Raw genomic sequence first — 23,614 nt, 5'->3', positions numbered from 1 at the left:
ATGGAATTCCTGTAGAATTACAGTTGATCCAGACCCCAGAACAACAAAGGAATTCAACATGATTAATGCTTTGGATAGCAAGGAACGTCAGAATGATTTACCTCCTATTACTAAAAAGGGCTGCCAGATTGCTTGAAAAAAAGCTCTGCTTGACCCAGGACATTGCTGTCTCTAGTGCAATCAGTGTTCTGAGTTTACTCGTTTGACAGGAGCGTGACTCTTTGCCAACTCTACTTCGTTTTATGTCTCCCTTTTCCCCTTTTTTCTTCCCTATCCCACCCTCTCTCCCAGTTTCATTCCAGGCCAACAAAGTGATGTTGGAGAGGAGGCATTCTGAAATCCCCAGCAAGTCCAGATGGGTAACCTGGGCTGTTCAGGACCAGTTACAGGCACAGAGGCAGCACATGCAAAACGAGCCCGAACACCAGTGCCAGCCCTTCCACTAGAGCTGCAGGGGTGCCTTTATTTTATCTTCTCATTTTTCCTCTTCTGAAAAAATCTCTGCTGGTGAGTCATTTGTGGCTATAGGTGTTTAAAGCATTTATATGAGGAGAACGACAGATTGATGTCTTTAGCACAGCCTGCCTGCTCTGGTCTAGGAGAGGTCAGGAGGATGACAAGAATACTAAGGCTTAAGATGACAGAGTTGGCGCCAACATGCATTTAAGCAGAGACTGAGAGTCCAGAATTCCTGGACATCATAAAGAATCTATTATCATTATGGTCACTCTCAGCAAGACTGATTTCATTACCATCTGTCTTCATCCACCGCTGCTTGGTGAATAAATATTAAATATGGAACTTTTCCTGGACTCAAGTCACTGAGGCTGAGAGGGAAGTAGTTATGTAACCATGTGATCCCCACACACCTCATACCAGGAAGAAAGAAGATGAGGCAAGGGGGGTTGGGTGGGGGGACCTGGAGGAGGGAGACAAAATGGTGTGAGAAAAGATCATTAGCTCTACTGAGTCGAAAATAAGAGTTCAGTTCTCGGTTGAGTAATAATCCTCTTTTCAAGGTGGGCGATATTTAAGCAATCATCTCTCGAAAATTGGTCATTACCACTGGCTAATAACTGATTTGTTAGTTAATACCCCAAGGTGAAGCCAAGGCAGCAAATGCTGTGGCATACCGTTTTTCAATGGCAAGATTAACAGATTTCAAGGGCATTATTGCTATTACGAACCATATTCGATTGATTTATAACACTAATATGTTTTATTTTAAAAAGTGGGTGGAATGTCCTGGAAAAACTCATCATTGTGTGGTGTTTGAAGTTGAATAGTCACTGTATGATGTCCAAGAGAGATATCCTCTGGTCTGGTTCTGGGCATTGCTAAGGTCTAGGCTGGCCCTCAGTGGCTTGCACAGTGTGGGATTAGAGAATCCAGGGAACCATTACTCAGAGAGGCCCAGGGTATTTAACTACAACGATGTCGCCTCTTCCCCTAAGTATACCCTGATGATATTTTTTTAAAACCTGCCATTATAAAGTCTAGAACGATAAACAGCAAGATTTTAAGTGGCATCTCTGAAGAGTAGGATTTCCATAAGGGAAGACAAGATTTTTATTTCCTACTTTTTAACTTCTGTTCTTGTCTTGAAGTTTTAATAAAATTTTGGTAAAAAAAAAAAACGAAAACCTTATAACTGCCCCCTAGGGGAGTCCTGAGGCTTGGGGTGGGCCCTAATGTCTACTGGTAAGGCAAGTCATCCCACTGGTAAGGCAAGCAAAACAAGGGCACCCGAACCCTGGGCCACAGACCAGTACTGGTCCGTGGCCTGTTAGGAACCAGGCCATACAAGATGTGAGCAGGCAAGTGAGCATTACGGCCTGAGCTTCACCTCCTGTCATCTTTTTTTTTTTTTTTTTTCTTTGAGGGAGTCTTGCTCTGTCACCTGGGCTAGAGTGCAATGACATTATCTTGGCTCACTGCAACCTCCACCTCCCGAGTTCACATAATTCTCCTGCCTCAGCCTCCTGGATAGCTAAGAATACAGGCCTCCACCACCACGCCTAGCCAACTTTTGTATTTTTAGTAGACACAGGTTTTGCCATGTTGGCCAGGCCGTTCTCAAACTCCTGACCTCAGGTGATCCACCTGCCTTGGCCTCCCAAAGTGCTGGGATTACAGGTGTGAGCCACCATGTCTGGCCTTACCTCCTGTCAGATGGTGGCAGCATTAGATTCTCTAGCAGTGTGAACTCTACTGTGAGCTGTACGTGGTTGCGGGGGGCAGGGATCTAGGTTGCATGTTCCTTATAAGAATCTAACTAATGCCCGATGATCAGTGGTGGAACAGTTAAATCCTGAAACCATCCCCCAACAACAGGCTTGCAAGTGTGACTGAGCCCAAGGGAGAGAAGTTACCATGGTATGGTAAGGCAGAGGGTCCCACTGGGAGCTGCCCTGGCCTTTGGCTGAAGTCAAAGTTTTCCCAGGGAGCCTGCAATCATATCCCCTTTGCTTCCTGCAGCAGCCCTCCTCTCCCCTCTTCCTTGATAATACAACTCCAGTTTTATGCTTCAAAGGGAGCAGGGACCCTCCCCATTCCCAAGGATAAATCTTAATGAATCTAAGCTAATCGTAGTAATTCCCGTTATCTTCTAGTGAGTGGTTTAAGGGTGGGCATGTGGCCCAGTTTGAGCCAATAAGATTAAGAGATCTGTAGAGAGATTACTGAAAAAAGTTTTCCTTTTTTTTTTTTTTTTTTTTTTTTTTGACATGGTGTCTTGCTCTGTTGCCCAGGCTGGAGTGCAGTGGCAAAATCTTGGCTCACTGCAACCTCTGCCTCCCAGGTTCAAGCAATTCTCCTGCCTCAGCCTCCCAAGTAGCTGGGACTATAGGCACGCGCAGCACCATGCCTGGCTAATTTTTGTATTTTTAGTAGAGACAGGGTTTCACCATGTTGGCCAGGCTGATCTCGAACTCCTGACCTCAGGTGATCCACTCACCTCAGCCTCCCAAAGTGCTGGGATTACAGGCATAAGCCACCTCACCCAGCCTGAAAAAAAGTTTTCTTACTCTTAAAAGCAAATGTGTGAGAAGAAAGCCCATTTTTCTGCTCACAGCATGGCTGGTGAAGAAGTGATGGCTGGAGCCACTGCAGCTTTCCTGCAATCACGGAAAGATGTCAGTCTGAGGACAAAGGCAAATATGCTATGCATAGCAGGGCAGAAAGATGGGAATAACCCAGGTGCTGCACTTGGTTGAGACTCCAGATGAACCAACCCTGCAACTACCCTATCTCCAAACTTACAATTTGACATAATGATGTCTAGACTGTTGACACCACTTCTCATTGGGTTTTTTTTCCCACTCACAGCTGAACATGTCCTGTCTGCTACACTCCCCTAGTCTGCCTTGAGGAACATGGAATAAGGAAAAAGACCTACAAAGAAGGAAGTGAAGACAGGGTCACAACAGAACCTGGGGGTACAGGGTTTAGAAAATCCAGAGAGCATTTTAGTGAGTTCCATACAACTGAATACTACATTTATACCTTAAAGATTAGGTGGAGTCTTTTCCATGGCAAACACAAAATGAATATGCACATTAGCCAGAAAAACAAACATCTACCTATGCCACAGACCTCAAAAAAAAAAAAATCAGACTGCAGCCAATGGAAATCAGTTGGCACATCCAGCAAAAATCAAGTCAGGAGGAATGTGTTACAATCACTCTCGACTCTCAGCTTCACTGAATTTGTCTTTCAGAGAAATATGTTTGTGGGGAAATAGCATTTAGTGAAGGTAGTCGCCTGGCTCTCCCCCAGTGAAGAAGGAAAATAAAAGGTGAGGATTCATAAGTGATTAGCTCATTAAGTAAACATTTCCTCACTGCCTGTCAGGTCCAAGTGCTGTATGTCAGGACAACGGAGTAATTGAAGATGTCTCTGCCTTCAAAGCGCTCACAGTCTGTAGTTAGCTAATAAAAGATGGCTGGGGGCTGATGTAAAATAGAAGCTTTATTACATGGGTAAGCAAGACAGATACATACAGGTTACCACCAAACTCAAGACCACAGAGCATATCAGTTACTGGCTAACAACTCACAGGTGCCTGAAATCCGCAGTTCTGAGTTCAGGGGATAGAGTACTACTTTTCCTCTTTCTTTCTTTTAGCTTTATCTGAGAGGTGTTTTCCAGAAGCTGAAGGTTGATGCTGAACTGCTGAAGCTGGAGGAGCCAGATGACAAAGAGCATGGTGAGGAGGAGTATCAGGCTATGACACACGTTATTTTGGAAAAACTTTTCATATGATTATTTATTTTTCTAATCCACCATTTTTGGAATGAGCTGAGATTAGCCCAACTAATATTAACATCAGTTCTAGGCTTGAATCCAAACAGACTTTTCAAGATCTCTAAATTCCTTCAGAGATGCTTAGAGGGATAGAATGCAGCTGAATCACAGTCTCCCAACCAGATCTTCCTTACCCGTGGTAAGTACCCTCATTCTAAACATTTTCATCTCTCCTCACCCTCTCTGCCTCCATCAAAATTCCATCTCACTGCTGTGTCATCTCTTTAACATTGTATGTTCTTCTCAGAATCTGAGACACTAGATGTTACTAATAGGTATGAATTGGTTAATCTGGTACCTCTGCCAGGTAACGTACATGTATTTTTACAGGAACTTTCTGAGGTAGTTTTCTAACCCTCTGGTTAATGATTCTCATAATGAGGATTTTTAAGTATTCTGGAAAACTGATGAAGAAAGTTGGGAAAATACTCCTAAAAGCACACCTGGCAAGCCATTTGAATTCACTTATGTGTAGGGTAGGGTGGGTCACCTCCTGAGTTATCCAAATACATTCTTTGAGTTTGCATGAAATACTTCTCCTGAAAAGTAACTCACATGTTAACAATCTTGCTCCAGAAGATTCCTGTGCTCACCCAATATTTGCTACAAGACTATGAGTGTGGCAGTTGTAGAATGCACTGTTAAATTGAGTCTAGACATTCATTTCCCTTTAGGGGAGAAGAAGATGTTCTGCTTAATGATGGTTGCCTTCCCTTGCATATGAGACAGGCAAGCCAACCACGGTAACAAACAGCACTGAAATCTCAGAGGCTTAAAACAGTAAAGATTTGTTTCACATGACATTTAAGCAGCTCTCTTCCAACTAATGATTCAGAAACCAGGTTCCTTTGATTTGGGGCTCTGCACAAATGGACAGGTCTGCACAAATTCACAGCTTACAAAGTTCCCTGGGCTTCATTTCTGAGTCAGGGGTGCAGAGAAGGAAGAACATGGAGTCAGAGGAGGTCTTAGAGGCCAGGACTGGAAGGGGCAAATAGTACTTCAACCCACATGTTGGTGGCCAGAACTCAGTCACGTGCACACCTGAGTGCAGAGGAGGCTGGGAAAGGTAGTTTCACTGTGTGTATGGTGAGGAAGTAACAGAGTAAGTGAGCAGAACCTGCCATACCCTGAAACCTGGAGGGCTAATGGAGAACTATGCACTCCCTCCAAACAGGCCCCTTACTATACTGACCCCCAGCTGCAGCAGACCACATCTGACCAGACCCCAGTCTAATTTTTAAACAGCTCCCTCTGTGAGTTTCAGTTTATAAGACTAAAAGCAGGATCCTTGGGGGAAATAAAGACTGAAGAGCTGGATATTCTCTTATGATACATTCTTCTGGCAAAAATTATCTTCATTTTGAGAAAAAAATTATACGCCTTCTAGGGCCTTTCATTTTCCCAGAAAACCTGATTTTCCTCTTTAGAAATCAATTCCACTCCACAAAACTATATCCATGGATACCTAAGGTCTGAGAACCATACGCAAGTATAAGATATTTAGGCTTCTGGAGAAACCAGCCTCAAAGCTCCCTGTTTGATTTTGATTAGCTTTCCCTGCTGTGTACCCACGGAATTTTTGTGGTTGTTGTTTTTTGTTGGCCACTTCACAGAGAACTACGGTCAAAGGAGGACTTATCCAAGGAACTGCAAAGACTTTTTGATCCAGACATCAGTTTATCTAGGCACTCACCACTGATGGTCCAAGTCCATCCACTTGGTCCTGAGAAAACCTTCTCAAAGTGCCTGGGAGAAAATCCATGGTTTCACTGAGACACCAATGAGGTGATGTCTGGTTTGTATTCAACAGGATAATTATTTATTCAATATCACATTATTAATTTATGCCAGAAACTAAAGTATGGATGCTGTCAAATTACAGTATGAATAATAGAGAAGACCAGACCTTGGCTGACACTTTGAGAATCTCTGATAGAATTGATTCCCCCTCTCAGCTGGCACCATCCAGGAAGAACCACATGACCAGCTTGCCTGCTTGATCTGAGCAGCACTGATTGAAAGAGAAAACTACTGTTTTGTGAATGATCAACCTCACTCAAAGTTGACATTTTTAACATTGAAGGTAAAGGTGAATTTGACTAGTGAAAACGTTACAAGCAAAAACTTTTTTGGAGGGCTTTAAGATCTAAAGGGTCTTTTTAGGTCACAAGTTTTTTTATCTTTGGAATCTTTGGATTTAATGAGTACTTACTATTTGCCATGAAGTATTCTAGAAGAGTTTTTTTTTTTAAGATGGAGTCTTGCTCTGTTGCCCAGGCTGGAGTGCAGTGGAGCAGGCTCGGCTCACTGCAATCTCCATCTCCAGGGTTCAAGCGATTCTCCTGCCTCAGCCTCCTGAGAAGCTGGGACCACAGGCACACACCACCACACCCGGCTAATTTTTTCTATTTTTAGTAGAGATGGGGTTTCCCCATGTTGGCCAGGCTGGCCTCAAACTCCTGACCTCAAGTGATCCACCCACTTCAGCCTCCCAAAGTGCTGGGATTACAGGCGTGAGCCACCACACCCAGCCCGATTCTAGAAGATGTTAAATGGTTTATTCCATTGACTACTTAGAGAAATCCAATGACATAGATACAATTCCCGTCTCCATTTTGCAGATGAGGAAAATGATGTATTTGTTTAAGGTTGCATTAATAATACCTCATATATGTATCAGGTACTGCAGGTTATAAACATATTTTTACTTGCATTATCTCTTTTGATCCTTACAACAACATAAGAGATAGATGGAGTATGTCATATTTTTCCATTTTATAGATGAGAAAACTGACACTAGGAGGAGTTCAATTAGCTGATCAACATCCCTTAGGAAATGCTGGGACCAGGACTCAAATCTGAATCTCCTGACTTCCAACCTCATTGCTCTTTCTACTACAACACACTACTCTTTTGAGAAAAGCACTCATAACACATTACTCATTAGAGAAAAGCCCTTTCTTTTCAAGAGAGTGGATTGAAGCAAAAAATAAAATGTGTAGCATGTCTTTGTACCTTTTAGTAGTGTCTACCCGAAGGTAATATGAAAAGAAAAGATATACCATGCAAAATACTGTCTGAATAGTCACTTGCTTTGGTAAGTGAACAGAATATTTGTAGGAGAGTCAGCCCCGTTGGGTCCACCTGCAAGCTCAAATGAATTGGACTTGATGTGGACCCACAAGCATTGAGCATATAGAGAACTCAGCAATAAATTTCAGAGCCCCACCAGGCAAAGTGTCTCATGCCTGTAATCCCAGCACTCTGGGAGCCTGAGGCAGGTGGATCACCTGAAGTCAGGAGTTTGAGACCAGCCTGGCCAACATGATGAAACCTGGTCTCTACTGAAAATACAAAAATTAGCCAGGCATGGCAGTGGGTGCCTGTAATCCCAGCTACTTGGGAGGCTGAGCCAGGAGAATTGCTTGAACCTGGGAGGCGGAGGTTGCAGTTAGCCAAGATCGCACCACTGCTCCAGCTTGAGTGACAGAGTGAGACTCCGTCTCCAAATTAAAAAAAAAAAAAAAAATTCAGAGCCCCAGAGGTATGAAATTCTGAATAAAGTCTGCCTCCCCTCCTGCAAGAAGTCCTTTTCAACATCCTCAGCCCACAATGGTCTTCCTTCTTATAAATGCGTATCTCTCTCAAAGTCTACATCACACAATCTACTGCCTTGATGATATCTGAGTTTTATTACCTTCTATTTATCACAGAAATACATGTCTAGCCAGACTGATTATTAACTCCTTGAAAGCAAAAACCATGTCTCTCTCTTACTTTTGTATTCACCAGATGATAAGCACCATTATGAGGCCATATGAGTGACTGCTAAAACTTGAGGGATATTTCTAATGGTAATAGCCATTCCATTAAAATACTACTATTATATGATAAAACTAACCACTTATAAGCTTATCACACTGTATTGAGAATTTATTCTATAGAAATATGTTTCAGTGTGTATAATTTGACCCATGTTTTAGCCAGAGCTATATAATAAAGAAACATGTTTAAGACAGTTTCCCCGCATGTAGATAATATCATTTAAAACCTAGTACTAAATTTTGAACTCCCAGAAATGAGAGAATGAGAAGGCTGGTTAAATATTTGGTATTTATACATAGTACATAGAAATAAATCATAATAAAGGTACAGTGTAGATATTTTCACCCAGCAATTTTAATGAAAACAAGCCTTTAAATCTCTATTACTGTTTCAAGAAAAATGGCACTACTTTCACAACTTAGTTACCTAATGAACTGTGCATTTCTTTTCCTTTGTCCTGGAGGATGAGCAGAAATGAATAGGAGAGGCCATGCTTGGCAATAATATTACTGATTACTAGAACATCTTTTGTTACTGCCTTTACTATACAGACCTTCAATGATTTACACCTCAAGTTTGTGACCATCAATATATAAGAACATATAGTTGACAGCATAAAAAGGTTGATGGTCAGAAACAACCAGCAGAAAACCCTATTCATTTCCATTTATCACCCTAGGAACACAGGATAAGAACAAACAATAACTCCCTGTTCTTTATCTTCTGCAGAAATGCCTTCCCATTATCTCTCTCCATCTGAGAACCAAGGCCATGTCCCTGGACATAAAAACCCACTTACTTGGGCAAAGCATCCTGGGTAACCAGAAGTCAGCATGCTAAGCCTTTGTGTGGGTATATGCCTATTGTATGCACATCTGCCAAGATCTTAGGATGCCTGCAATTGCCAAATGGATATGGCTACACATTAAAGCTACTGTTCATAATCATACTCAATAGTACAAGAAATCATCCACAAGCAAGTTCATGACTGCAGTTCTTGACCTAACTAGTCTCTCTGACTCACTGACATCATAAGCTTACGAATATTAATGACCATGATCTAGAAATGCAAGTGGAAAGAAAAATAGGCTTCTTGACAAAGCCAGGGCAAATCCCAAGTCTAGAGAATGGAGGCTGCCTGCCAGCCAGCCAAGGAAAAGGGTACACAGTGCCCAAGACCTTTATTTGCAAAACTGAGCTTAAAAACGAAACAAAACAAAAACAACCAAGATTCTGCTACCTGTTAAATACTTATCGACAAAGAAAAGTGGTGAAGACTAGCAACATATGTGGAAGATTACAGGACAGAATGTTGTTCCAACGTAGCCTTGAGTTTAATTTAAAATGCGTGATCCACAAAGTCAGCTTAGTTAGGGGAAAGAGGGAACCCTGAGTTTAGACGCTAGTCCTGACTTCGCACAAACTTGTTAACAGCCTTAATCATGTGAGTGAAACTCTGTGCCTTTGCTGCCTCACCCTTCAAATGATAAGACAATAGAATCATCTACAATAGTCATTTTTTTTTTCTTTTTTCGAGACAGGGTTTCACTCTGTCACCCAGGCTGGAGTGCAATAGTGCCATCATGGTTCATTGCAGCCTTCACCTCCCAGGCTCAAGCAATCTTCCCCACCTCAGACTCCTGAGTAACTGGGACTATAGGTATGTACACTACATCTTGCTAAATTTTTTTATATTTGGAGAGGCAGGGTCTCACTATGTTGCCCAGGCTGACCTCAAACTCCTGACCTCAAGCAATCCTCCTGCCTCAGTCTCCCAAACTGTTTGGATTTACAGGCACGAACCACTGCATCTGGCCTGTTACATTTTTTTAAATATAATAATTATGCTTGTTGTCCAAAGGTTTGACAGTTTACCCAATGGTTACTTCAAAATTTTGAGGTGGATGCCATAAAGTCCTACAAATTTCTTTTATTTCAATAGGTTTTGGGGGAACAGGTGGTGTTTGGGTACATTAATGAGTTTAGTTGTTGTATTTGTCCATTCTTACACTGCTCTGAAGAAATACTCGAGACTGGGTAATTTATAAAGGAAAGAGGTTTGATTGGCTCACAGTTCAGCAAGGTTGGAGAGGCCTCAGGAAACTTACAGTCATGGCAGAAGGGGAAGCAAACACATCCTTCTTCACATGGTGGCAGCAAGGAGAAGAATGTGAGCTGAGCAAAGGAGGAAGTGCCTTATAAAACCATCAGATCTCATTAGAAGTTACTCACTATCACGAGAATAGCATGGGGGAACCGCCCCCATGATTCAGTTACCTCCCACCAGGTCCCTCCCACCACACATGGGGATTATGGGAACTACAATTCAAGAGGAGATTTGGGTGGGGACACAGCCAAACCATAACAGTGGTGGTTTCTGAGATTTTAGTGCACCCATCATCTGAGCAGTGTACACTGTACTCAATGTATAGTTTTATCCCTCACCCCCCTCCTGCCCTTTCCCCAAGTCCCCAAAGTCCATTGTATTATTCTTGTGTTTTTGCATCCTCATAGCTTAGTTCCCACGTAGGAGTGAGAACATACGATGTTTGGTTTTCAACTCCTACGAATTTTTATAGTCGGTTATGCCTTAAGTCCAGGATATTCTAAGACAGCATTTCTCAAAGTATGTGCTACAACTACAAGTCCAAAAATAATCCGCAAAACAAAGGTTCTGTGGTGAAATAGACTTGGAAAACATTGCATGTCATAACTTCACTTTTGGATATTCAATATCTACGTTAGCATATTGGAGGTTCTGAGAAGTCCTGAAGTAAAGAAATCACAGCTTTGTTTAGCCCACACCCCTGCATCCTACTGACTTCCTTCTGTACCTCTTTGTCTTAAGTCTCTGTTTCTCCCTCTCTCTTTCTCTTTTCTTCCCTCTCCCTCTCTCTAAGCCTTAGAAGGCTGTTCTGACTGCTTGCAGAGCAGGCCTGAAATACCAAGAAATTAACACATACCTAAGAACAGTCCTAAAGCAATAACTGATGGAAGTTGAGGTATCCCAGCTCCCTTGCTTCTTGGTGGGGATAACTCAGAGTCATATGCTTAACACTGTCTCCTATCGTTTCCTCATGCAGTTAAGTTAGTTCCAGCCACCCACAGTGGTTGCTGGCTGGAGAAGCTCCCCTTAATCAGGTGCCTTCCATTCCTTACTTCCCCACTCCCATCTCCCAGATAAACTACTAGCATGCACATTCAACTGCAGAGTCTATTTCTGGGCCAACCCAAACTAATATGCCCAGGATTTCTCACACATGTCTAATGATAGACCTTCACATCACACTTTTTCAATTAGCCAAAACTCCAAAATCAATCCCAAGTGATTGATCCAAGTGGCGAGTGAGAGAAGCCCAATAAAAACTGGTGAAAACAGAAAAAATTAGTTTTATTTAAGACCAGGACAGGGCTAGCTTTAGGCCTGGCAGGACTCTAGGCCTTGGACAGTATCATGAAGACTCACTCTGTCTCCATTTCTGGGCACTACACCTTTTTGTTGGCTTCATTCAAACAGGCTCCTTTCACAAAGCAGAAAGATGACCATCTGCACTGAGCTTACATTCTCTCTTTCAGCAGCCCCGGTGAAAAAAGGGGTTTCTCTCCCTCCCTCAATAATTTCAAAAAGAGCCTAGAAGAAATCTCACTGGACTGTCTTTGGTCAATAGTCACTGCTGCACCAATTCTTGAGACTGGGGAGAAGGAATGTACTGACTTCATAGTCCTGAGCCAGTGCCTACCTCTGGAGCTGTACATATGGCCCTCAGTCACACCCAAACCACATGGACCAGTGATGATGAGGGTTATTGCTTCCAGCAGAAGGAAATGCCTTCAAGGCAGGCACAAATAATAGACATCCAGTCTACTCTTTAACATTCTATGGGACTCATTTGGGGAGATGCTCTTCTACAGCATTCACAACTACTTCCTCCAAAATTCCTGACAAAGTCTTTCTCAGAAAAGTCTGAAAGTGAAGTTTAAAAAGTGAAGAATTTTTGACAACTTTATGTCACCCTAATAAATGTTTTATACATGATCATTTTATTGATACCACTAATTCTCTACTTGCTTTCCTGGTTTGGGTACCTTTAAAGAAGTATTGATCATTACCTTTGGCATTGCTTGCCAAAAGAAAAGATACTCCATCAATTCCTTTCCGTCAACCCTGATCCTCATGATTAATTCTTCACTATTCCAACCAAGAAAGGTGATTGAGAAGCCTTAAGCAAATGGGAGATACACACAGTAATTGAAAAGACTAAGAAAAATGGTGGTTAAAATGTATTCCATAAACCACCCATCCACTACTGGAAATGTTTTTGTTTTGTTTTATTTACTTTGTCTTTCCCACAGGGGAAAAAAATTAAAACCCAGCAAAAAAAAAAAAAAAAAAGGAAAAAGAAAAAAAGATTTAACTGTACATTGTGGTTTTATTGGTGTTCCTACAATTTATTACAATGGCAGAAATTAATTTATAGATAATGACGAACATGGGTTCACAACAAACATCACATGAAGCAAAGGAAAACACACCAAGAATGTTCTAATTGGCAAGAAAACATTCATCTGTGGCTGGAATAGCCAAAGAGAAGGGCAAGTTTTACATACCAGCCTTGAAAAGCATTATTGGTTTTTAAATTACAAGTCTTTCCAATTTTTTTTCTGTATTTTTTTCCCTCTCTTCTCCTAAGGTCTCCCCACAAAGGAATCCCACTGAGGAATCTCATCTATATTATCAGGGGAGCTGCTATACCACTTTCTTCCACCTTCCTTTGATCATTTTCTACTTTTCGAGAGAAGGGCCCTATGGCATTTCTATTGACCCCCTTGACAAACATAACTATTGATGTCTTTCATAAAAAAGGATCAGTATTAAAATTATATGATTTCAGAGTTTCTTGGTCTACCAATGCGGAGTCTACCAAGGTCAATCCGATTTTCAAACAGAAAGTGGGTCCTCTCTGAAATTTCAGTTGTGGTCTCCACTATGCTCATGTATGTGCAGACTTGGGCAGAAGCATGGATTAAGTGCTGCTGCCCCAAGTGACTGCACCCCTGCCACCCAAGTGCACTCCATATGGGCACACCCTCATGTTCATGAGACTCTACTCTCTCCCAGGTACCTTGGAACAGCCTCAACAACCAACCTATGTAGCCCAGGAAGGAGGAACTTACTTATGAAAATATGAAAAGGTTCAACCATACCCCAAAATAAATGGGACATCAGTTCCATTCAGCTACTTAAAAGCATTCTTTTAAAGAATATTCGTGATACAGGAAAATGCCAACAATAAATCTTTTAAAAAAAGATTGAGAAGAAAGACACAAAATATTAACAGTAACATTCTATCTCTGGGTGATAAAATTCTCAGGTTTTTTTTTCCTCCATGTTTTCCTGATTTTCCCACATTTTATGCAATGAGTATCTGTTACTTTATACTCGGGTAAAAACAACAAATGCTAAATTTTTTTAGCAATTGAAAAGTACAGCAAGCCTCTGATAAAAGTCTATAGTCACTGGCATTATAAAAGTGCTGAAGCTGGTGAGACCAAGCAGGTCATCACTACAAAAATCAGAGCCTTGGGCCAGGCATGGTGGCTCACACCACTGGGTGCGGTGGCTGAGGCAGGTGGATCACCTGAGGTCAGGAGTTCGAGACCAGCCTGGCCAACATGGCAAACCCCATCTCAACTAAAAAAAAATACAAAAAAAAAAAATTAGCCAGGCATGGTGGTGGGCGCCTATAATCCCAGCTACTCGGGAGGCTGAGGCACAAGAATCACTTGAACCTGGGAGGCAAAGGTTGCAGTGGGCCGAGGTTGTGCCACTGCACTCCAGCCTGGATGACAGAGCAGGACTCTGTCTCAAAAAATAAATAAATAAAAATAAAAATCAGAGCCTTGGATTCCCTTCCATGATATCAAATACTTGTCCATCACACTCCTGTTATATAGCCTTACATTCCCCGACAGCACTGCAACCTCCTAGAGTTTCAATATCATATCTCAGCTTCTTTGTTGTCCCAAAAATGCTTTGTCCAGTGCTTTGCACAAAACAGGTATTCAAGAAATGTATTGTGAATTAACTAATGGCAGCATGGTGGTAATAGGATAGGTGTTTACTATCAGGGGATAGTAAGAACTAAGGGTCCAGGGACACTGGATCCTAAAAGCTTCAGGTAAGCGACCGGGTACAGTGGCTCACGCCTATAATCCCAGCACTTTGGGAGGCCAAGATGGGCGGATCACAAGGTCAGGGGATTGAGACCATCTGGTCAACATGGTGAAACCCCGTCTCTACTAAAATTACAAAAATTAGCTGGGCATGGTAGTGCACACCTGTAGTCCCAGCTACTCAGGAGGCTGAGGTAGGAGAATCACTTGAACACAGCAGGCGGAGGTTGCAGTGAGCCGAGATCGCACCACTGCACTCCAGCCTGGTGACAGAGCAAGGCAAGACTCATGGGATTAGGGAGTTAAAACAAGCATCTAGGAAATCAGTTGAATCAATGGCCCTGACAGCCAAGATAGCAAAGCAGTGCTGAGACTGCTTTTGACTTTCTTTTAAGCAGGGCAGTCCCAGGAGCAAGTGTGCTTTGTGGTTACCCAGAGTGGCCCCCTGCATACACCAGTTCCAGATGGTTTGACTGAAAACAATTTTGCCACAGAAACTGAATAATTCAGGCCAACAATAGAGGACTCGTTGAAACAACCCAGTCCCACAATAGAATGCCTTTTGAAAGTTTTTATTGTTTTTCCCCAATTTCAAAAACAATGCATTCTCATTACAGAAACATCTTAGATGACTAATAAATGTATCAAACTTATGTTCAAAACTGAGCTCCTGATCTTGCCTCCTGATCTTTATCTCACTATAGACTTCTCCATTTCTATTAACTTAGTTCTAAGCTTCTATTTGTTTAGGCCGAGAAGCTTGGATTCCTTTCTGACTACTCTATTTATCTCATAAGTCCATGTTCTGTATATGTAAGCAAGTCCTGTAGACTATAACTTCAAAATGTATCAATACTGTAACCACTAACCACTGTTCCCCACTTCCACTGCTATCACCTTGATCCAAGCCCCCATCACCTCTCACCCATAGTCTCCTGCTTCCACCATTGTCCCTGCTACAGGTTATTCCCAAAGGGGCAGTCAAAGTGATACACATAAAACATAACATAGATTATGTCACTTCTCTGCTCAGCACCCCCAGTGGCTTTCTAGCTGGCTGAGTGAAAGTCTAAGTCTTCACAATGGCCTATAAGACTACACATGACTTGGCTCTCTCGCTACCTCTCTAACTCACCTTCTCCTACTCTTCCTCATGGCTGATTCTGCACCAGTCCTCTGACCTCCTTGTCTCACTACACACACACACAAACACACACACACACACACACACACACAAAACCAGGCATGCTCCTCTAGCAAGCCTTTTGTACTTGATACTCTTTCTGCTGGCTCGCTTTTCCCCCCAGATATCCACCTGGCTCAGGCTCTCATTTCCTTTAGATCTTCACTCAAAAGTAACCTCGACAGTCAGACCTCCCTGGTGACCCTATTTAAAATTGGAACCCCTCCCCAACATGCTGTAGCCCCCTTCCCTGCTTCATTTATCTCCATAGTGCTTGTCACTGTTTGGCCTGTGATATATCTTACTTAATTCTTTTGTCTGCTTCCTACTCCTACAAGTATGTACCTTCAATCAGGGCAAATTTTTCTTTTTTCTTCATTGTTATACCCTCAACATAAAGAATATGGCTGACATTTAATAAGAGCTTATTAAAATTTTGTCAAATTGATTAAAAAATATATAAATAAGCAAAATAATTCCACCCACCCAAGGCAAACACTATTCAGACCTTGGTGTATAATTGTCCAAATAATTTTTCTGTACACTATAATTATTCTACAAATATAAGCTTATATAATACTTACATTAGAAACCTGTGTGTTTATCATAACTTGATATTTTGGATATTTCAATTGAGTCCTATTATTCTAATTTTTCACTTCAACAAACACCAAAGAATAGGAATAATGGACTAAAAATACATTTGAAATATGATAGTAAATAGTGGGGAAACAATTGAAAAGTTCAATTTTTTTTTTCCAAGATAGCATCTCACTGTCACCCAGGCTGGAGTGCAGTAAAGTAGTGTAATCATGGCTGTCAGCAACCTCAAACTCCTGGCTCAATCCTCCCAAGCAGCTGAGATCGTAAGCCCACACCACCACCACCTGGCTAATTTTTTAATTTTTTTGGAGGGACACTGTATTAGTCCATTTTCAAACCGATATGAAGATACTACCTGAGACTAGGCAATTTATAAACAAGAGGTTTAATTGACTAGGTTCTGCATGGCTGGGGAGGCCTCAGGAAACTTATAGTCATGGTGGAAGGCAAAGGAAAAGCAAGAACCTTCTTGACAAAGTGGCAGGAGAGAGAGGGAGTGAATGGGGAAGTACCACTTTTAAACCATCAGGTCTCATGAGAATTCACTCACTATCAGGAGAACAGCATGGGAGAAACCACCCCAATGATCCAATCATCTCCCACCAGGTCCCTCCCTAGACACATGGGGATTACAATTCAAGATGAGATTTGAGTGCGGACACAGAGACCCTTTGTTCTGGTGTGCTCTCATGGTGACTGGCCAAGGAGAAGCACCCCTCTGCACAGAAGTAAAATTGCTTCGCTGAAAATCCTTTGTTTGAGTGCTCAGTTTCCTTAAGATTCTGAGCTTTATTTCCAACAGAGTCAAACCGTATCATTCCACCCCAACCCCTCCCAAAAGAACCCATGTCCTTTTCACATTTCAAAACTAATCCCTCTCCCTCTCCCCGGTCTCCCTCTGATGACACCAAAGTTGTGCCCCTCCCCGGTCTCCCTCTGATGCCACTGAAGTTGTGAAAGCTGAGGCTGGACTGTACTGCGGCCATCTCGGCTCACTGCAACCTCCCTGCCTGATTCTCCTGCCTCAGCCTGCAGAGTGCCTGGGATTGCAGGCGCGCGCCACCACACCTGACTGGTTTTTGCATTTTTTGGTGGAGACGGGGTTTCGCCATGTTGGCCGGGCTGGTCTCCAGCTCCTGACCGCAAGTGATCTGCCTGCCTCTGCCTCCCGAGGTGCCGGGATTGCAGACGGAGTCTCACTCACTCAGTGCTCAATGTTGCCTAGGCTGGAGTGCAGTGGCGTGATCTCGGCTCGCTACAACCTCCACCTCCCAGCCGCCTGCCTTGGCCTCCCAAAGTGTCGAGATTGCAGCCTCTGCCTGGCTGCCACCCCGTCTGGGAAGTGAGGAGTGTCTCTGCCTGGCCGCCCAGTCTGGGAAGTGAGGAGCCCCTCTGACAGGCCGCCCAGTCTGGGAAGTGAGGGGCGCCTCTTCCCGGCCGCCATCCAGTCTAGGAAGTGAGGAGTGTCTCTGCCCCGCCGCCCATCGTCTGAGATGTGGGGAGTACCTCTGCCCCACCGCCCCATCTGGGATGTGAGGAGTGCCTCTGCCCGGCCACGACCCCATCTGGGAACTGAGGAGTGTCTCTGCCTGACCGCCACCCCATCTGGGAGGTGAGGAGCGAATCTGCCCAGCCGCCCCATCTGAGAAGTGAGGAGCCCCGCTGCCCGGCAGCCACCCCGTCCAGGAGGTCGGGGGGCAGCCCCCGCCCAGCCAGCCACCCCATCCGGGAGGTGGGGGGCAGCCCCCGCCCCACCAGCTGCCCCGTCCAGCAGGGAGGTGGGGGGTCAGCCCCCACCCAGCCAGCCGCCCCTTCTGGGAGGGAGGTGGGGGGTCAGCCCCCACCCAGCCAGCCGCCCCCTCTGGGAGGGAGGTGGGGGGTCAGCCCCCACCTGGCCAGCCGCCCCGTCCGGGAGGGAGGTGGGGGGCGCCTCCGCCCGGCCACTGCCCCGTCTGGGAGGTGGGGGGCGCCTCTGCCCGGCCGCCCCGTCTGGGAAGTGAGGAGCCCCTCTGCCCAGCCGCCACCCCGTCTGGGAGGTGTATCCAACAGCTCATTGAGAACGGGCCATGATGAGGATGGCGGTTTTGTCGAATAGAAAAGGCGGAAATGTGGGGAAAAGAAAGAGAGATCAGATTGTTACTGTATCTGTGTAGAAAGAAGTAGACATGGGAGACTCCATTTTGTTCTGTACTAAGAAAAATTCTTCTGCCTTGGGATGCTGTTAATCTATAACCTTACCCCCAACCCCGTGCTCTCTGAAACATGTGCTGTGTCCACTCAGGGTTAAATGGATTAAGGGCGGTGCAAGATGTGCTTTGTTAAACAGATGCTTGAAGGCAGCATGCTCGTTAAGAGTCATCACCACTCCCTAATCTCAAGTACCCAGGGACACAAACACTGCGGAAGGCCGCAGGGTCCTCTGTCTAGGAAAACCAGAGAACCTTGTTCACAGGTTTATCTGCTGACCTTCCCTCCACTATTGTCCTATGACCCTGCCAAATCCCCCTCTCCAAGAAACACCCAAGAATGATCAAAAATACTAAAAAAAATAATTAAAAATTAAAAATTAAAAAAAAAATTTTTAAACAGAAAAAAAAAAAAAAACTAATCATGCCTTCCCAACAGTCCCCCAATGTCTTAACTCATTCCAGCATTAACTCAAAAATCCAAGTCCAAAATCGCATCTGAGACAAGGCAAGTCACTTCCACGTAGGAACCTGTAAAATCAAAAGCAATTCAGTTTACTTCCAAGATACAATAGGGGTACAGGCATTGGGTAAATGTTCCCTTTCCAAATGGGAGAAATTGGCCAAAACAACAGGTCCATAAGCCCCATGCAAGTCCAAAACCAGGACAGGCAGTCATTAAATCTTAAAGCTCCAAAATCTCTTTTGAGTCCATGTCTCACATCCAGGTCACACTGATGCCAAGGTATGGGCTCCCACAGCCTTGGGCAGCTCTGTCCCTGTGTCTGTTCTTATGGGCTGGTGTTGAGTGCCTATGGCTTTTCTAGGCACATGATGTAAGCTGTCAGTGGATCTACCTTTCTGGGGTCCGGGGGACGGTGAACCTCTTCTCACAGCTCCACTAGGCAATGCCCCAGTGGTGACTGTGTGTGAGGGCTCCAATTCCACATTTCCTTTCTGCACTGCCCTGGCAGACGTTCTCTATGAGGGCTCTGCCCCTGCAGCAGACTTCTGCTGGACATCCAAGCATTTCCATACATCCTCTGAAATCTAGGTGGAGGCTCCCAAAGCTCAACTCTTATCTTCTGTTCACCCACAGGCCATGTGGAAGCTGACAAGGCTTGGGGCTTGCAGCCCCTGAAATGACAGCTTGAGCTGTACATTGGTCCCTTTTAGCCATGGCTGGAGCTGGAGCAGCTGGGATGCAGGGCGCCAAGTCCTGAGGCTGCACAGAGCAGCAGGGCCCTGGGCCTGGCCCACAAAACTATTTTTCCCTCCTAGGCCTCTGGGCCTGTGATGGGAGAGGCTGCCATGAAGATCTCTGAAATGCCATGGAGACTTTTTCCCCATTGTCTTGGTGATTAACATTCAGCTCCTCATTACTCATGCAAATTTCTGCAGGCAGCTTGTATTCCTCCCTAGAAAATGGGTTTTTCTTTTCTACTGCATGGTCAGGCTGCAAATCTTCCAAATCTTTATGCTCTGCTTTCCTTTGAAACATAAGTTTCATTTTCAAACCATCTCTTTGTGAACACATATGACTGAATGTTTTCAAAATCAGCCAGGTCAACTCTTGAATACTTTGCTGCCTAGAAATTTCTTACATCAGATACCCTAAATCAACTCTCTCAAATTCAAAGTTCCACAGATCTCTAGGCCAGGGGCAAAATGCCACCAATCTCTTTGCTGAAGCACAGCAAGAGTGACCTTTGTTCCAGTTCCCAGTAGATTCCTCATCTCCATCTGAGACCACCTCAGCCTGGACTTCATTGTCCATATCGCTATCAGCATTTTGGCCAAAACCATTCAACAAGTCTCTAGGAAGTTCCAAACTTCCCTGCGTCTTCTTATCTTCTTCTGAGCCCTCCAAACTGTTCCAAACTCTGCCCATTACCCAGTTCCAAAGTTACTTCCATGTCTTCTGGTTATCTTTATAGCAGTACCCCACTCCTGGTACCAATTTTTTGTATTAGTCCATTTTCACGCTGCTATAGAGATTCTACCTGAGACTGAGTAATTTATAACAACAAATGTTTAATTGACTCACCGTTCCACATGGCTGGGGAGGCCTCAGGAAACTTACAATCATGGTGGAAGGCGAAGAGGAAATAAGCACCTTCTTCCAAAGCAGCACGAGAGAGAGAGAGCATGCAGGGGAAACTGCCACTCTTAAACCATCAGATCTCATGAGAACTCCCTCACCATCACAGGAACACCATAGGGGAAGCCACTCCCATGATCCAATTATCTCCCACCAGGTCCCTGCCTAGACATGTGGGGATTACAATTCAAGATGAGATTTGGGTGGGGACACAGAGCCAAACCATATCAGACGTGATCTCCCTATGCTGCCCAGGCTGGTCTTAAACTCCTGGCCTCAAGCTATCCTCCCACCTCAGCCTCCCAAAGTGCTGAGATTACAGGTGTGAGCCACCATGCCTGGCCTCTTGAAAAGTTAAATTTTAAATGGGCAAAAATCATTAAAGATAAATAAAGATTACAAAGTGGTTGCAATCATAAACAAAAAATATCAAGGCTTTGGGATTAATGTCTGAGAAATAATTATTTTATGTTTTTTCTTTCACCAAATAGTAATGTTGAACAGTTTATTTTTGGCTAAATTGTTTTCAGCTGAATAATCTGGAGATGGTGCTGGCAAAAGTCAGTAGAGACAGAGAGAGCTCAAAGCTCCCAGGAGCATCCTGATTCTGGCAGAAGCAGGAGCAGAGAGTTTAGAATCATGAGATCATCATAAACCCCCTTCTTGGAAGATCTCAGGACCTCAGACCACAGAAATTACCCTCCACTTCAGTTTTGCCATCCATCATACTAAGGCAGAAACACATCTCACCTTCCTGCTACTCAAGAATTGGCAAATAAAGGCAAAATCTCGCCCCTCTCTGAGATTCTCAAAGAACAGTGTTTGACTCTGTTCAGTGGGGTTTTCCAGGGCCAAAAATGCCTGTGGGATTGATTTTGGAGTCCCAGCAACCCTCATCTCTTAGTCCTTATATTGCATGCAGGTCCACAGGAAGAGAGGGTTGGCACTCAAAGGATCACAGTTTCTATCCCACGTCATCACTCTTACTGACCACTCTGGCTCTGGGGATGCTGCATCTCTCTGAAATCCACCCAGTTGCGGGAAATACTGAGAGTTTAGGCCTACTTCCCATTATCTGAATAAAATAGATAACATCGTTTTTTCTTTTCCAAGAAAATGGAAATCAAGCCCACTGTTTTGTGTTATCAGTTTAACCGCTGAGTTGAGGTGTCACCAGCAAGTACTGAGCTTTAACTGTTTCCAAATGGGGCTTCTGAGAGGCACTGAGTTGGCATCTACCAAGGACTTGGTCTACACATAGAGGGAAGACAGAGACCAGGAAACACTCATCTTTCTGCAATTCAACTCTGGGCTCCATCTTGAAGGAAATGAATGCATGAAGAACATTCTTAACCTAGTATGTCTACGGCCATACCACCCTAGGCGTGCCCAATCTCGTCTGAACCCAGTACGTGACATGCCCTATGCTGATGCTTTCATATGCGTTACCTTATTTAATCCTCATGACTTCCACATTAATAATAATTACCTATGATGTGAGAGGGTCATTATACCAATTTTATGAAGAAAATATGGCTCAAAGAAATAATTTTTAAGTAGCAACACCAACATTTGGAATCTTCTTGAAACTTCTAACTCCTAGAAGACCACCATGCTGTATTTTTGGTCTACAAATTTAAATGGAATAGTATCTAATGTTGGGGAAAACGGGAGGAATGAAGGGTGACTGCTAAAGAGTACAGGATTTCTTTTAGTGGTGATGAAAATGTTCTAAAATTGACAGTGATGACCATTGCTCAACTCCATGAGGACTCTAAAATTCATTGAATTGTATATTTTAAATGGGTGAATTGTATGGCATGTGAGTTATAACCACACAGAGCTGTTACAAATAAGTAATATTTAATGGAGGCCTCTTCCCACCCTACTCTACAACAGTCACAAAAACCTCTCAATTTTCCCATATATCCTGAAGTAGAAGGGCTTGCCTTTTATCTCTTTGTAATTTTATGTAGTGGACAATAAACAAATGGCTGATTGTAATGATGAAAAAGATCCAAATTTCTCCAGTAAAGTTGGGGGAGAAATGCCCAGTTACAAGCAGCTGAATGGAGGTCAGAGAGAACCATAATCCCAGATAAAAAATAAGCAGGCAAAATTTTCTGTAGCACAATCCCTCTCTCATTTCAAGAATCTGCCCACACGCTCCTCACACCTCCTCCTCTCCTGTCACTACCACCATGATCTTGTGGTTACACAATTTCATTCAGAGTCAAAATTAGAAATTAACTAAAGAAGCTATGGTATGGTATTTTATTCTAAGATGTCATCTCTTTTCAAATGAATCATCAATTTAATAACAGTTTTCCAAGTGTTAAAAATGTGGGGTAAAAATGCATTTTAGAATCAAAGAAATGTACTAATCCCTATGAAGATGGTAATCCAATTAAAGTGTAATTTCTCCATATTTGAAGACATTTTCAGTGCATGAAAATGCTTTTTAGAATCAGAGGGCTAATGAATGTTTAATGATGTAAATCTATGCCTGACACAATAGAAGAACGACTGGTGTTTATTGTTTAGGATGGAGGGGGCCGCTTCCCAGAATCTATCGAATGCCCAAAGCCTGTGCCCTCCCCATTCATTTTTCTGGGCTGAACCCTCACTCTCATTTTCAAGGTTAACAGGGGAAGTAGAAAAGGGCATGAGCTGTCCTTTGCAAGGACATGGATGAAGCTGGAAACCATCATTCTCAGCAAACTAACACAGGAACAGAAAACCAAACACCACATGTTCTCACTCATAACTGGGAATTAAACAATGAGAACACATGGACACAGGGAGGGAAACATCACACAACAGTCTGTTGGGGGGTGAGGGGCAAGGGGAGGGAGAGCATTAGGAGAAATACCTAATGCATGAGGGGCTTAAAACATAGATGACAGGTTGACAGGTGCAGCAAACTACCATGGCACATGTATACCTATGTAACAAACCTATATCCCAGACACATGTATCCCAGAACTTAAAGAAAGATAGACAGATAGATAGATAGATATAGATAGATAGATAGATAGATAGATAGATAGATAGATAGATAAAAGAAAAGGGCATGAGCACTGAAATATGCATTTTCTCAAAGGCCTGGAGAAGTAGGTGAGATTGCTTCAACTTCACATTGCCAGAATGCTGCAAAGCTTTCAACAAAGAATTGGTAATTAGACCACCCAAGCTCTGAGGAACTATGAAGCCTAGATTCTCGGAAGAGGTACT

The 23,614-nt window shown here is 43.5% G+C and overlaps 2 long non-coding RNA genes across 2 annotated transcripts; both read left to right on the top strand.

Annotated features, from left to right (window-relative positions):
* The first annotated feature begins 3,730 nt into the window (after positions 1 to 3,730).
* LOC105377677 (uncharacterized) lies at positions 3,731 to 6,385 on the top strand. The gene is made up of 4 exons (XR_941130.2): positions 3,731 to 3,796; positions 4,126 to 4,444; positions 5,922 to 6,093; positions 6,191 to 6,385. It is a non-coding gene; the product is annotated as an uncharacterized LOC105377677 (long non-coding RNA).
* An 11,286-nt stretch (positions 6,386 to 17,671) lies between these two features.
* Positions 17,672 to 22,818, top strand: LOC107986466 (uncharacterized). The gene is made up of 2 exons (XR_001742941.1): positions 17,672 to 17,705; positions 20,911 to 22,818. It is a non-coding gene; the product is annotated as an uncharacterized LOC107986466 (long non-coding RNA).
* The last annotated feature ends 796 nt before the right edge of the window (positions 22,819 to 23,614 follow it).

The sequence above is a fragment of the Homo sapiens genome, chromosome 5 (genome assembly GCF_000001405.40).
Source record: "Homo sapiens chromosome 5, GRCh38.p14 Primary Assembly".
NCBI classification, from domain to species: domain Eukaryota; kingdom Metazoa; phylum Chordata; class Mammalia; order Primates; family Hominidae; genus Homo; species Homo sapiens.
Note: the sequence above shows the minus strand (reverse complement) of the source record. Positions and strands in the feature narration are given on the sequence as shown.